General features: G+C 38.5%; 1 long non-coding RNA gene across 1 annotated transcript in view; it reads left to right on the forward strand.

Annotated features, from left to right (window-relative positions):
- The window catches only part of LOC124901733 (uncharacterized), a 45,306-nt gene extending 34,936 nt beyond the window's left edge, over window positions 1–10,370 (forward strand). Inside the window, exon 2 of the long non-coding RNA XR_007060491.1 lies at window positions 8,952–10,370. This is a non-coding gene — a long non-coding RNA (uncharacterized LOC124901733). The remainder of the gene's footprint in view (window positions 1–8,951) is intronic.
- The last annotated feature ends 6,546 nt before the right edge of the window (window positions 10,371–16,916 follow it).

Consider the following 16,916-nt stretch of genomic DNA (forward strand, 5'->3'; position numbering starts at 1 on the left):
TAGAGAAAAAATGTTAAGAAAATCATAAGGAAGAAAACATATATTTTTATTCACTGTGTGGAACTGGATCATCAAGAGGTCTCCATCCTTATCATCTTCACATTGAGTAGGGTGAGAAGGAAGGGGAAGACTTGGTCTTGCACAGACAGGAGTGGCAGAGGCAGAAGAGATGGAGGAGGTGGAAAAGAAACAGGAGAGGCAGGCAAACTTAGTATAACTTTTGGAAATACATTTTCATTCTTGTCTGACTTTTTTGCTTTTTCATTTCTTTAAAAATATTTCTATATGGTACCAATCCTTCTTCCACCATTTGCTTTAGTTTCAGTGCCCATATCATAGAAGGGCCCATGTCTTAGAAAGAAGTCAAGGCTGTCTTGAATCACTGAAACTTCTCCCAGATTGTCTTGTTTTCTAGCATGGTTTCTTCTACAATTTCTTCCTCGTCATCTGGCACTGGTTTAGAAACACTTATCTCCTTCAATTCATCTTCTGTTAACTCCTATGGTGTGGTGTCTATTAGCTTTTGAATTTTTCCAGGATCTGTATCTTAAAATCTTGCACTTCTCACCTTTTTTTTTTTTTTTTTTTGGCCATATCCACAATCTCTTTCATGATTTCCTTAATTCGATCTGTCATAAATCTTATGAAGTCATGCAGAACATCTAGACACAGTTTCCTCCAGCAAGAAATTATGGTTTGGGGCTTGATGGCTTTCACAGCTTTTTCTGTAACGATGATGGCATCCTCAGTGATGTAATCCTTCCGGATGTTCAAGACGTTCTCTTTATTGGGGTCTCTTCCATAGCACTGACAATCCTTTCCATAGAATAGTCCTTGTAATGGGCCTTAAAGGTCCTTATGACTCTCTAATCTGGACTAAGGCTAAATTATATGTGTTTGGGGACAAGCATATCACATTGATGTCTTCAGTGTTTAACTCATGGATTTCTCGGTCACCAGGGTTATTGTCCAATATCATAAGAACTTTAAAAGCACCCCCTCACTGGCAAGGTACTTCCTGATTTCAGAGACAAAGCATTGGTGGAACCAATCCAGAAAAAAAGGTTCTTGTTGTCCAGGCCTTCTTGTTGTACAACCAAAAGACTAGCAGCTGGTGTTTATCTTTTCCCTTCAAGGCTCAGGGGTTAGCAGCTTTATATATAAAAGTAGTCTGGATTATAAACTTGACTACCTTTGTGCAAAACAGTAGAGTTAGCCTGTTCCTGCCTTAAATCTTGGTGCTCACTTCACTTGCTTACTAATAAACGTCCTTAGTGACATGTTTTTTTCTAGACTAGGGCACACTTTCATCTTCATTAAAACCTCTTCAGGCAGATATATTTTCCCCTTAATCATTTTCTTAATAGTGTCTGGAAACTCATGTATTGCCTCTTGGTCAGCAGAAGCTGCTTCTGTTATCTTGACATTTTTATTAAAAGCATCAAACCATCCTTTGCTGGCACTAAATTCTCCAGCTTTAGATCTTTCACCTTCTTTTTGCTTCAAGTGGTCATATAATGACTTTGCTTTTTCTCGAATCATATTAGAGTCTATAGGTATGCCTTTCCTATAGAAATCCTGGACCCACATAAGAGCTGCATTTTCAATGCAAGATAAAAAGGTATTTTTCAAAAAATGCATGATTTTCGTGCCTGCTGACATAGCTGCAGTGACTACTTTATGAATTTCTGTTTCCTTTTTTTACAATATTCCTTACAATGGATTTGTTTATCTTGAAATAGCAAGAAATGGCATCTGCAGACCTCAATCTAAAGTACATATCAAGCAATTCAACGTTTTTTGTAATGTCATCCTTTTCTCTTTTTCTTGGGAGCACTTCCAGCATCACTAGCAGCACTTAATATGGGTCCCATGGTGTCATTAAAGATTTATAATATTGCACAAAACATGATGAAAATGCACAAGAACTGTGAGGGACAATTTTTTAATGTGATGTGCAGTTTGCTGGAGAGATGAATGGCTCACATGGAGATGATTAGCATCACATGGCATTTTAAGCAGATACTACCAAAACTGGAGATCACTGCCATAGCAACAGGAGATGGCTATGAAATTATTATAACATTACAGTATGCCTACAGTTAATTTTATGAAGTTACGATTTAATACTGCATCTTGACTTTTTTTTTTTCATTTCTCTTGACTGCAAATGGTACCATGTATGTATGATCTGTAAGGGATGTGTGTAAGTTTTGATAAATTTTAACTATTTATGATAGAGCTGTGCATATTTTATGGGAGTAAGTGATAAAAATAGACCTGTGTCTACATGTATTTGATGCATTTATGACATACATAACTTTTTCTGAATATTTTCTAGATTTCTAGACTAAACAGTTTGCATGTTTTTTTTTTTTACAAATTGTTACAAATCTCCAAAAATTTTCCAATGTGTTTATTTAAAAAATACACAAATAAGTAGACCCATGTAGTTCAAATTCATGTTGTTCAAGGGTCAACTATAGTATTTTACACTCAAAGTTTAACTATACTAGGTCACTTTTTGGCCCAGTGTCATTGATACTCATGTTGTTCTGCATATAATGTCCTCTGTTCCATCAACAGCATCAAGGCTGAAACGTTTCTAAGGAAGGATCTAAGATTTTCTTCCAAGCCAATGACATTTCTGTCTTACTTTTGATGATGTCATATGATATGGTTTCACTGTGTCCCCACCAAAATCTCATCTTGAAATCCCACGTGTTGTGGGAGGTACCCGATGGGACATAATTGAATCATGGTGTTGATAGGTCTTTCTCGTGCTGTTCTTATGATAGTGAATGTCTCACATGACCTGATGGTTTTAAAAAGGAGAGTTTCCCTGCACAAGCTCTCTTCTCTTGTCTGCCACCATGTGAGACATGCCTTTCATCTTCCGCCATGATTGTGAGGCCTCTTCAGCCACGTGGAACTTTAAATCCATTAAACCTCTTTCTTTTGTAAATTGCCCAGTCTCAGATATGTCTTTATCAGCAGCATGAAAATGAACTAATACAGTAAATTGGTACCGAGAATGGGGTGCTGCTGAAAAGATACCCAAAAATGTGGAAGCAACTTTGGAACTAAGTAACAAGCAGAGGCTGGAACAGTTTGGAGGGCTCAAAATAAGAAAGGAAAATGTGGGAAATTTTGGAACTTCCTAGGGACTTGTTGAATGGCTTTGCCCAAAATGCTGATAGCAATATGGACAATAAAGTCCAGGCTGAGGTGGCCTTGGATGGAAATGGGGAACTTGTTGGGTACTACAGCAAAGGTGACTCTTGTTATATTTTTGCGAAGAGACTGGTGGGATTTTGTCCCTGCCCTAGAGATTTGTGGAACTTTGAATTTGAGAGAGATGATTTAGGGTGTCTGGCGGAAAAAAATTTCTAAGCAGCAAAGCATGCAAGATGGGACTTGGGTGCTGTTAAAGGCATTCAGTTTTATAAGGGAAACAGAGCACAAAAGTTTGGAAATTTGCAGCCTGAAAATGTAATAGAAAAGAAAATTCTATTTGCTGAGGAGAAATTCAAGCCAGCTGCAGAAATTTGCATAAGTAATGAGGAGCCGAATGTTAATCCCCAAGACAATGGAGAAAATGTCTCCAGGGCATGTCAGAGGTCTTTACAGCAGCCCCTCCAATCACTGGTCCAGAGGCCTAGGAGGACAAAATGGTTTCATGGGCCAGGCCCAGCATTCCTATGCTGTGTACAGCCTAGTGACTTGGTGCCCTATGTCCCAGCAGCTCCAGCCATGGGTGAACGAGGCCAACATAGAGTTCAGGCTGTGGCTTCAGAGGGTGCAAGCCCCAAGCCTTGGAAGCTTCTATATGGTGCTGTATCTGCCAGTGCACAGAAGTCAAGAACTGGGGTTCGGGAACCCCTGCCTAGATTTCAGAAGATGTATGGAAATGCCTAGATTCGCAGGCAGAAGTTTGCTGCAGAGGCGGGGCCCTCATGGAGAACCTCTGCTAGGGCAATGCAGAAGGGAAAGGTGGGGTCAGAGCCCCCACACAGAGTCCCTATTGGGGCACTTCTTAGTGGAGCTGTGAGAAGAGGGCCACTGTCCTCCAGACCCCAGAATGGTAGACCTACTGAAAGCTTGCACCTTGTGCCTGGAAAAGCTGCAGACACTCAACACCAGCCCATGAAAGCAGCTGGGAAAGTGGCTGTACCCTGCAAAGCCACAAGGGGTAGCTGTCAAATATAGAGGTAAGTTGGTGCACACTATCCCACCTACTTCTGACCCTCCACGTATTATCTGTGTTAAAAGTTCCTCCAACAGGAATCCATTCCTTTGGATTCAAATCCTCTATTAAAATGCTAGTCCCCAGAATAAAAGCTAACTATTAGCAAAACATTATCATAGCAATGTTTTCCATTTTTTGTTTAGAACTTATTTTTAATAAATTAAGTGTCAAATATAGAGGCTCCCACCCCAGTCTTCCAGCATCCTTTCCTCACTGGGCTCTCAGAATGCTGACTCTAGAATCCCACGTAGGCCACTAGGAGATTCTTCTCTGAAGAATCTGTCCAGCTTAAGAGAGAAGACTAAAGATTCTGTTGTGAAGATTGTATTGTGAAGGATTTCTGAAAAATTTGTGCAGCACACTCTACTGTAGAGGTCAATATCAGCAAACCTGTATGTGCTCAGAGTTTCCAACTATACTTTTAGTCTCCCAGTCTTAAGGTAACCAAATCATACTGGTAACATTGCCAGATTTAGCAAATAAAAATACAGGATGATCAAATTTGAATTTTGAATAAACAATGATTTTTTTTGTATAAGTAGATGTCATACTTATTTGAGACCTATTTACTCTAAAAAAAAAGTACATATTTATCTGAAACTTAAATTCAAACAGGCATTTTATTTCCATATAAAATGTATCCATTTTATCTGGAAACATTACATAGAGATTATCCAAGAAAATACTATAACATGGAAGGGAGACAGTATAACCAAAAGAAAAATGAAACAATAATATCAAAATCCTGACAGAAAATTATTACCAATCTAGTGGTCTAAACTCACTGAAATATCAACTGGGAATGAGAACAGAATGTTTTCAGTTTCCATCAGGTCATCAAAATGTTAATGGCAGATCTCTCAAGATACTAATGTTTCAAATGGCTTAATAAGATTTTGACATAGAAAGTCAAAAACAAACTCTGTTTGTTTCTTTCTGTGTGAATCAGTGTTCATATGATATGCATATAATTAGAAAAATCAATAAAGCTCTTTTCATTTTGAATAAAAACTCCTATACACAAAAAGTCATTAAATGAAATTATGTAGGTAGCTTTATTTTTCCAAATTGTTATTAAATTGTATTCCTACACATTTATTTTTTTCTAGTTAAAGTTAATACCCAGTATATTGTGTGCTGCATGAGTTCAAACCCCATTCGTAATCAAAATCTGTATTATTTTTCTGAGTCTCAAGAGCCTTTTTTGGACTTCCATCCAAATACTAACCAGGCCTGACCCAGCTTAGCTTTCAAGATCAGGTACATTTGGGGTGGTAGGCCCATGTATTGTTTTTCTGTTGTAGCTGTAACAAACTACCACAAATTCAGTGGCTTAAAACAATACAAATGCATCATCTTAAAAATCTGGAGGTCAGAAAGCTAACAGGTCTCACTGGTTTAAAATAAAGATGTCGGCAGGACTACTCTAGGGATGATCCATTGTTTTGTCTTTTTCAGTTGGTAGAGGCAGTCTCTATGTGTTGTATTGTGGCGCCTTCTTCCATCTCTGTGACATTCTTCCCTTGATTCTCTCTTTATCCAGAAGGTTCTTTGAAGGATTCATGACATTAGATTGGGCCTACCTGGATAATCCAGAATAATCTCTGGATCTCAAGGTCCTCAAGATTAACTCCCATCTTCAAAGTCCCTTTATTCATGTATGGTAACAGATGCCAGGAATTAGAACAGGGATACTTGGGTGGCCATCATTCTGCCTACCATATCTGGCTTGCAGATACAGAAATATAGTTCTGCATTTATCCATGTATAATTTTCTCCTGATTTTAAAAACATATAAATGTATTTTAAACCTCAGGAAGCATATTGTCAAGTATGAACATAATTTATTAAAAATAAGTTCTAAACAAAAAATGGAAAACATTGCTATGATAATGATCCAATTAAAAAAATAGGTACTTTTCAAGATTTGTCAAAGGAAAATGCAATCATGTAAATACTAAAAGTAAATAATTTGGGGTTTTTAAAAAATGGGTTTTTTTTCAATAAACTTTTAACACAGACTATAAAATTATACTGCTACAAAGGAGGAGTAAGAATTATTTTACATACTATCTGTATCCCTAAACCAGGGTCAGCTTTCCAAACAGGTGAAATGAATGGCAGTGGGAGGCAGTTGGTGCACACTATCCCACCTACTTCTGACCCTCCACGTATTATCTGTGTTAAAAGTTCCTCCAACAGGAATCCATTCCTTAGGATTCAAATCCTCTATTAAAATGCTAGTCCCCAGAATAAAAGCTAACTACTAGCAAAAACCTTGGCCTGGATTTATTCAAAACTAGGATAACACTTGACATTTGAGGAAGGATATGCATCAGAAGAAAGCTACCAGAAGCTAGCAGTGGGCCACTGAAATAGAAAATATAGTAATCATACTTCCCCTTATTTTCCATTTTTTAATGCACCACCCTCTATCAATAGTAAGACAAGTCATGCCAGCCAGCTAGTGAAAGAGAAAATATATGGATATAGAGGTATTTTTATTAAATTAAAAAAAATTAATGTCTTGGCCAGAGAGGAGATTGACAAGGGATTCTTGATGAAATAATATGAAAGATAGATAGAATTTTAAAGAAATGAAAACAGATAGAGGCAGCCTATCATAAATCATTGATCATATTTACACCTCATTTTTATAACATTTCCTGCAGCAAACATTGTTTACTCATGATAAAAAATAACCTGAAATTAATGCCAAATGCCCAATGAAAATATTGCAAAGCAAGGACATTACTTGTAAGATTATTTCTGCTTCTGCTCAGAAGCGTTTGAAAGCTTTATATCACTTGGTGGCGTATTTCATTCTAAGCAGCCTCATCTACTTTCATCTCTGTGCTATGTATAGCATACTGAACTATCTTCATAAGATCAAAGGGAAACTCACTGTACTTTATTTACAGAGGCAAATTTAATGCGTAACCAGGGTACTTATTTTACTAAACTGACTAGTCCCTTTGAACTACTGTCTTCACTGATCCATAGACCATGCTCTAAATGTGCAGGCTTCCTTGACTCTGGAAAATGTTCTTAGCCTAATTGGGGTACTTCCTTTGAACTGCCTGCCGTGAGTTTTACTATGCTGTAAGTGCTCAACAGAGGTTGGTTCAGGAGGCATGACTGCAAAGTCCTTTAGAAAACAAAAAAATAAAAAAATAAAAAATACAACCAATACAACAAAATTGAAAGTATCTTATCTCACTATCAATAGTGAATAAGAATGACTCATTTCAAAGTACATAATTATAATATTAGTGGTTCTTACAATAACTGGTACACTTCTGTTTATCTGGCTATGAAATAAGCTATTATGCTCACTTCTGCATTGATTGAAGCAGGGAATGTACCTGCTTTGTGTGTTACATTAATACAAATATGAAAGAAAATATATGTGAAGTGACATGATGCAATGGAAAGAACATAAATTTGGGGTCTTTGCATTCCAATATGGCATTAATGAGCAGTGTGATTTTGCCCAAGTTGTTAAATGTTTCTCTCAATCTGATATTCTTCACCTTCAAAGTAGGAAGCCACATTTTGTGATAGACATCGTGCTGCTCACCAGTATTTCTGGCTCTCATGCCTTGAGCCAAAACGAAGGAATGTTATTCTCTTCCCCATTGAGTTTATGCATGATGCCATAACTTGTTTTGGGCAATGAGGTATAAGTGGAAGTAATATGTCATTTCTGGAAAGAGGCATTAATTGGCATTGTGAAACTTTACAGAAATGTCTCTTTTCTCGAACAATTTTGGAAGCATGTGTTGATATCATATAGACCTGCAAGGCTGTGCCACCAGTGAAGGACAAGTGCCTATGAGAATCACCTGTATCTGTAAATCTTCTATTTTAAGCTACTGAGATTGGCTTCTACAGGATAACCTACCTTATCCTGACTGAGCATCGCTGTAGGATTAATGCAAGTTTTAAGTGAAATAAGGTACATAAAGCACATAGCTGACTGCTTGGTAATGCTGATTAATAGGTGTTGGTTCTTTTTCTTCTTTTTCTTTAAGATCTTGTGCATTAAAAGAAAAAAGTGAATCTGCTTACAATAATATAAACTTCATAAGGTTTTCCCCTCACTCACTCCATTCTTTCCTATGACCTTGGTACCTCTCCTTCATTTTCCCCTGGCTCACAAAAACCAGCTATTATAGCCAGAGGTAAATATAAAATAAAATAAAATAAAACTTTATAAACATTTCCTCACTCCTCTTAGTGGCAGTCTCAAGAACTTGCAGATGGTTAAAATCACCTGGAATTGCATTTTTGGCCCCCAAAGCTGCAAGGGTAGCCCTCTCTGGATTATCTTCCTTCAATGCCATGACTTGTTGAGGGACTGTAATCCTGTGGTACAGGTACTGGGAATTGGTTAAGAGTATGGGCATTGCAGTTGAACTCCTTGGACACTCGTCTCTGCTTACTTCATTATGAGTTAGGGATGTTGATAAGTTAGTTTCTCTAAACTCAGCTTCACCATTCTTAGATGCAGTGCCTATTTCATAGAAATAGGCCACTTCCCAAGAACCAGAGCAGTTCTGAAGAGTATTTTCTGAAGAGTGTTTTCCATTATGTTTACCTCAGGGTCACAATTTCCCTTGGTGTAATTAGTCTGAGAATTAGCTATATATCTGTTAAACTTATTTTGGTCTTAAATAACTTTTCTTAAATTTATTTGCAGGACACAGGAAATGAAAGCATAGGTGGTCCGTTCCAAGATGGCCAGATAGGAACAGCTCCGGTCTCCAGCTCCCAGCATGATTGACACGGAAGACAGGTGATTTCTGCATTTCCAGCTGAGGTACATGGTTCATCTCATTGGGACCGGTTGGACAGTGGGTGCAGCCCATGGAGGGCAAGCCAAAGCGGGGGGGGCATCACCGCACCTGGGAAGTGCAAGGGGTCGGGGATTTCCCTTTCCTAGCCAAGGGAAGCTGTGACATACCGTACCTGGAAAAATGGGACATTCCCACCTAAATACTGCTTTTCCAATGGTTTAAGCAAATGGCACACCAGGAGATTATATCCCATGTCTGAGTCGGAGGGTCCTATGCTGGCAGAGCCTTGCTCACTGCTAGCACAGCAGTCTGAGATCAACCTGTGAGGCAGCAGCCTGGCAGGGGGAGGGGCGTCCGCCATTGCTGAGGCTTGAGTAGGTAAACAAAGCAGCCAGGGAAGCCCAAACTGGGTGGAGGACACCACAGCTCAGCAAGGCCTGCTACCTCTGTTGATTCCACCTCTGAGGGCAGGGCATAGCTGAACAAAAGGCAGCAGAAACTTTTGCAGAATTAAACGTCCCTGTCTGACAGCTCTGAAGAGAGCAGTGGTTCTCCCAGCATGGCATTTGAGCTCTGAGAATGGGCAGACTGCCTCCTCCTGACCCCGTGTAGCCTAACTGGGAGACCCCTCCCAGTAGGGGCTGACTGACACCTCATACAGGCAGGTATCCCTCTGAAACGAAGCTTCCAGAGGAAGGATCAGGCAGCAATATTTGCTGTTCTGCAATATTTGCTGTTCTGCAGCCTCCGCTGGTGATACCCAGGCAAACAGGGTCTGGAGTGGACCTCCAGCAAACTCCAACAGACCTGCAGCTGAGGGACCTGAAAGGAATACCATCAACATCAACAAAAAGGACATCAACACCAAAACCCCATCTGTAGGTCACCGACATCAAAGACCAAAGGTAGATAAAACCACAAAGACAAGGAGAAACAAGAGCAGAAAAGCTGAAAATTCTAAAAACCAGAGTGCCTCTTATCTTCCAAAGGACTGCAGCTCTTCGTCAGCGATGAAACAAAGCTGGATGGAGAATGACTTTGACGAGTTGACAGAAGGAGCCTTCAGAAGGTCGGTAATAACAAACTTCTCTGAGCTAAAGGAGGATGTTCAAACCCATCACAAGGAAGCTAAAAACCTTGAAAAAAGATTAGATAAATGGCTAACTAGAATAAACAGTGTAGAGAAGACCTTAAATGACCTGATGGAGAATGGCATGGGAAATACGTGACGCATGCACAAACTTCAGCAGCCGATTCGTTCAAGCGGAAGAAAGGGTATCAGTGATTGAAGATCAAATGAATGAAATAAATTGAGAAGAAAAGTTTAGAGAAAAAAGAGTAAAAAGAAACAAACAAAGCCTCCAAGAAATATGGGACTATGCAAAAAGACCAAATCTACTTTTGATTGGTGTATCTGAAAGTGACGGGGAGAATGGAACCAAGTTGGAAAACACTCTTCAGGATATTACCCAGGAGAACTTCCCCAACCTAGCAAGGCAGTCCAACATTCAAATTCAGGAAATACAGAGAACACCACAAAGATACTCCTCGAGAAGAGTAACCCCAAGACACATAATTGTCAGATTCAACAAGGTTGAAATGAAGGAAAAAATGTTAAGGGCGGCCAGAGAAAAGGTCAAGTTACCCACAAAGGGAAGCCCATCAGACTAACAGCAGATCTTTTGCAGAATCTCTACAAGCCAGAAGAGAGTGGGGGCCAATATTCAACATTCTTAAAGAAAAGAATTTTCAACCCAGAATTTCATATCCAACCAAACTAAGCTTCCTAAGTGAAGGAGAAATGAAATCCTTTACAGACAAGCAAATGCTGAGAGATTTTCTCACCACCAATAGGCCTGCCTTACAAGAGCTCCTGAAGGAAGCACTAAACATGGAAAGGAAAAACCGGTACCAGCCACTGCAAAAACATGCCAAATTGTAAAGACCATCGATGCTAGGAAGAAACTGCATCAACTAATGGGCAAAATAACCAGCTAACATCATAATGTCAGGATCAAATTCACACATAACAATATTAACCTTAAATGTAAATGGGCTAAATGCCCCAATTACAAGACACAGACTGGCAAATTGGATAGAGTCAAGACCCATCAGTGTGCTGTATTCAGGAGACCCACCTCACATGCAGAAACACACATAGGCTCAAAATAAAGGGATGGAGGAAGATCTACCAAGCAAATGGAAAGCAAAAAAAAAAGCAGGGGTTGCAATCCTAGTCTCTGATAAAATAGACTTTAAACCAACAAAGATCGAAAGAGACAAAGAAGGCCATTATATAATGGTAAAGGGATCAATTCAACAAGAAGAGCTAACTATCCTAAATATATATGCACTCAAAACAGGAGCACCCAGATTCATAAAGCAAGTCTTAGAGACCTACAAAGAGACTTAGACTCCCACACAATAATAATGGGAGACTTTAACACCCCAATGTCAATATTAGACAGATCAACGAGACAGAAGGTTAACAAGGATATCCAGGACTTGAACTCAGCTCTGCACCAAGAGGACCTAATAGACATCTAGAGAACTCTCCACCCCAAGTCAACAGCATATACATTCTTCTCAGCACCACATCACACTTATTCCAAAATTGACCACATATTTGGAAGTAAAGCACTCCTCAGCAAATGTAAAAGAACAGAAATCACAACAAACTGCCTCTCAGACCACAGGGCAATCAAATTAGAACTTAGGATTAAGAAACTCACTCAAAACTGCACAACTACATGGAAACTGAACAACCTGCTCCTGAATGACTACTGGGTAAATAACAAAATGAAGGCAGAAATAAAGATGTTCTTTGAAACCAATGAGAACAAAGACACAAATGTGTCCCACAATCTCTGGGACACATTTAAAGCAGTGTGTAGAGGGAAATTTATAGCACTAAATGCCCACAAGAGAAAGCAGGAAACATTTGAAATCGACACCCTAACATCATAATTAAAAGAACTAGAGAAGCAAGAGCAAATAAATTCAAAAGCCAGCAGAAGGCAAGAAATAACTAAAATCAGAGAAGAACTGAAGGAGATAGAGACAAATCCTTTAAAAAAATCAATGAATCCAGGAGCTGGTTTTTTGAAAAGATCAACAAAACTGATAGACCGCTATCAAGACTAATAAAGAAGAAAAGAGAGAAGAATCAAATAGATGCAATTTAAAAATGATAAAGGGGCTATCACCACTGATCCCACAAAAATACAAACTACCACCAGAGAATACTATAAACACCTCTATGCAAATAAACTAGAAAATCTAGAAGAAATGGATAAATTCCTGGACACATACACCATCCCAAGACTAAACCAGGAAGAAGCTGAATCTCTGAATAGACCAAAAACAGGTTCTGAAATTGAGGCAATAATTGAGAGCCTACCAACCAAAAAAAGTCCAGGACCAGATGGCTTCACAGCCGAATTCTACCAGAGGTACAAGGAGGAACTGGTACCATTCCTTCTGAAACTATTCCAATCAATAGAAAAAGAGGGAATCCTCCCTAACTCATTTTATGAGGCCAGCATCATCCTGATACCAAAGCCTGGCAGAGACACAACAAAGAAAGAGAATTTTAGACCAATATCCCTCATGAACATCGATGCAAAAATCCTCAATAAAATACCAGCAAACTGAATCCAGCAGCACATCAAAAAGCTTATCCACCATGATCAAGTAGGCTTCATCCCTGGGATGCAAGTCTGGTTCAACATATGCAAATCAATAAACGTAATCCATCACATAAACAGAATCAATGACAGAAACGACATGATTATCTCAATAGATGCAGAAAAGGCCTTTGACAAAATTCAACAGCCCTTCATGCTAAAAACTTTCAATAAACTAAGTACTGATGGAACGTATCTCAAAATAATAAGAGCTATTTATGACAAACCCACAGCCAATATCATACTGAATGGGCAAAAACTGGAATCATTCCCTTTGAAAACTGGCACAAGACAGGGATGCCCTCTGTCACCACTGCTATTCAACATAGTGTTGGAAGTTCTGGCCAGGGCAATCAGGCAGGAGAAAGAAATAAACGGTATTCAATTAAGAAAAGAGGAAGTCAAATTGTCCCTGTTTGCAGATGACATGATTGTATATTTAGAAAACCCCATCATCTCAGCCCAAAAATCTCCTTAAGCTGATAAGCAACTTCAGCAAAGTCTCAGGATATGAAATCAATGTGCAAAAATCACAAGCATTCCTATACACCAATAACAGACAAACAACCAAATCATGAGTAAACCCCCATTCAGAATTGCTACAAAGAGAATAAAATACCTAGGAATCCAACTTACAAGGGATGTGAATGACCTCTTTAAGGAGACTGCAAACCACTGCTCGAAGATATAAAGGAGGACACAAACAAATGGAAGAATATTCCATGGTCATGGATAGGGAGAATCAATATGAAAATGGCCATACTTCCCAAGGTAATTTATAGATTCAATGCCATCCCCATCAAGCTGCCAGTGAATTTCTTAACAGAATTGGAAAAAACTACTTTAAATTTCATATGGAACCAAAAAAGAGCTTGTATTGCCAAGTCAATACCTAAGCAAAAAGAACAAAGCTGGAGGCATCATGCCACCTGAGTTCAAACTATACTACAAGGCTACAGTAACCAAAACAGCATGGTACTGGTACCAAAACAGAGATATAGACCAATGGAACAGAATAGAGGCCTCAGAAATAACAACACACATCTACAACCATCTGATCTTTGACAATCCTGACAAAAAGAAGAAATGGGGAAAGGATTCCCTATTTAATAAATGGTGCTGGGAAAACTGGCTATCCATATATAGAAAGCTGAAACTGGATCCCTTCCTTATACCTTATACAAAAATTAATTCAAGATGGATTAAAGACTTAAATGTTAGACCTAAAACCATAAAAACCCTAGAAGAAAACCTAGGCAATACCATTCAGGACATAGGCATGGGCAAGGGCTTCAAGACTAAAACACCAAAAGCAATGGCAACAAAAGCCAGAATTGACAAATGGGATCTAATTAAACTAAAGAGCTCTGCACAGCAAAAGAAACTACCATCAGAGTGAACAGGCAACCTACAGAACGGGAGAAAAGTTTTGCAATCTACTCATCTGACAAAGGGCTAATATCCAGAATCTACAAAGAACTTTAAAAAATTTACAAGAAAAAAACAAACAACCCCATCAAAAAGTGGGCGAAGGATATGAACAGACACACTTCTCAAAAGAAGACATTTATGCAGCCTCAGACACATGAAAAAATGCTCATCAGCACTGGTCATCAGAGAAATGCAAATCAAAACCACAATGAGATACCATCTCACACCAGTTAGAATGGTGATCATTAAAAAGTCAGGAAACAACAGATGCTGGAGAGGAGGTGGAGAAATGGGAACACTTTTATACAGTTGGTGGGAGTGTAAACTAGTTCAACCATTGTGGAAGACACTGTCGCGATTCCTCAAGGATCTAGAACTAGAAATACCATTTGACCCAGCAATCCCATTACTGGGTATATACCCCAAGGATTATAAATCATGCTACTATAAAGACACATGCACACGTATGTTTATTGCGGCACTACTCACAATAGCAAAGACTTGGAACCAATCCAAGTGTCTATCAATGATAGACTGGATTAAGAAAATGTGGCACATACACACCATGGAATACTATAAAGCCATAAAAAGGATGAGTTAATGTTCTTTGCAGGGACATGGATGAAGCTGGAACCATCATTCTGAGCAAACTATCACAAGGACAGAAAACCAAACACTGCATGTTCTCACTCATAGGTGGGAACTAAACAATGAGAACACCTGGACACAGGTCGGGGAACATCATACACTGGGGCCTGTCTTGGGGTGGGTGGCTGGAGGAGGGATAGCATCAGGAGAAATATCTAATGTTAAGTGACGAGTTGACAGGTGCAGCAAACCAACATGGCACATCTATAGCTATGTAACAAACCTGCACGTTGTGCACATGTACCCTAGAACTTAAAGTATAATTTAAAAAAATAAAAAAGAAGCTGAAAAATTAAGACTCAGGAAAGGAAAAAGAATTGTGCCAGATCCCAGTGTTGGCAGCAGAACTACAACTAGAATTTAAGTTGTCTGACTTCTGATATAGCATACTACATTCGCACCATGTAGAGCTACCCATGTGCAGTGCAAAACCTGAGCATATTTTAGCAATAACATTTAAATGAAAAAAAAAAGAAAATGAAAGCATATAGAAATAGTACAAATTTTCCAGTTCAGTGAATGCAAGAAATGGTCCTGAACATACATAATAGCATTAAGAGCTAACATATATAGATCGCTGACTGTGTGCCAGGCACTGTGCTAAGCACTTTCCAAGCACCCTTTATGTAATCTTCTTCACAATTCTATGAAATACGTACTGTATCTAAGAATGATGAAGTTGAGTTTGAGAAACAAACTCAACATCCCTAGCTCATAATGAAGTAAGCAGAGATGACTGTCCAAGGAGTTCAACTGCAATGCCCATACTCTTAACCAATTCCCAGTACCTGTACCACAGGATTACAGTCTCTCATCAAACCATCCTATAAATTATCAAGTTATATGGGTTACCGATTTATATAAGCAGATCATTCTAAATTGATTTCTTATATACTAAGCTGCATTCTTCAATTCCCGCTGATTAAAGTGACCACATTTCTCCCTATAAATGGAAAGCCCACATTTACATACAGGAAAAAGAATATTTGTACCTGTAAATTTAAAGGAAAGCAGAGGGATTACCTGAAAATCAAAAGATATAAAAGGGAATACCTTTATTTTCTCTTTGTCAGCTGGGACTCAAGTAGCAATTATTTGTTTACTATCTTCTTGGGTTATTTACAGAAAATATTTACATGGAGGTATTTCTGAAACATATTTATTGAATTATTGAATATGGCTGTATAGAATACAGACACCATACCAGGAATTTTATGAAATGCAAAGGTCTGATCTTTGCCTTGCCAAACCCAGCTTCAGAAGACAAATGGTTGAAATGTATGCCAGACTTGATTGTTGTTGTGGAGCTATGGTCACCTGATGTGATGGGAAAGGGAATAATGCTGCTTCAGTTTTCCTGGTAGAATGCTTCAATTTCACTCGACATTCAAGTTAATTAAAAGTGTTATGAAAAATTATCTCTAGTGCCTCATGTTCTCATTCCTCTCATAAGAGAAAAGGAAAGAGAAGACATTCATTACTCTAACTATAAATGTACCCTATTTTTTGTGTAAGGAGGGTGCTTAGGGTACTTCAGAAATTCTGAGACAGAAAGGAAATATTATGTAAAATGAACTGAGAGAGCAGAATAGAATAAAAAAGCAAATGAATAGTTATAAATAGAGTTTTCCATATTAGGAAAAAATATTTTAAAATGCCAAATAGCTTCATCGTTTTCTCCCATCCTCTTTATTTCTACCACCATTTGCACATATATGTTTCTGGTATTTCTACGTATATGTATGAAGAATAAGGGCTATTCAATTTGTAAATATCGGCATTCATGGAAATTTACTAGATTGGAATTTCTTGATCATTTGTCATCTACTGAAGTCTCCCTTCTAAAACACTCTCAGTTCTACAGAGACAAGCAGTTTTATATGGGGGAAATATCTGAGGCTAAACTGGGCCACATAGTTTCATATAACATGAATAAATAAATGTTCATATACATATAAGTATATGCACAGAATCAAAAAGAATTTGAGAAGACATCTGCTTCATAGCATACCTCTAGGTAGGGAAGTCTTGAAATTATCAAAGGCAGACAATTACCTAAGGAGTTTTGCTTGACTGACCAAAAATTTGCTGCAGGGAGAACAG

The sequence above is a fragment of the Homo sapiens genome, chromosome 7, assembly GCF_000001405.40.
Source record: "Homo sapiens chromosome 7, GRCh38.p14 Primary Assembly".
Lineage (NCBI taxonomy): Eukaryota > Metazoa > Chordata > Mammalia > Primates > Hominidae > Homo > Homo sapiens.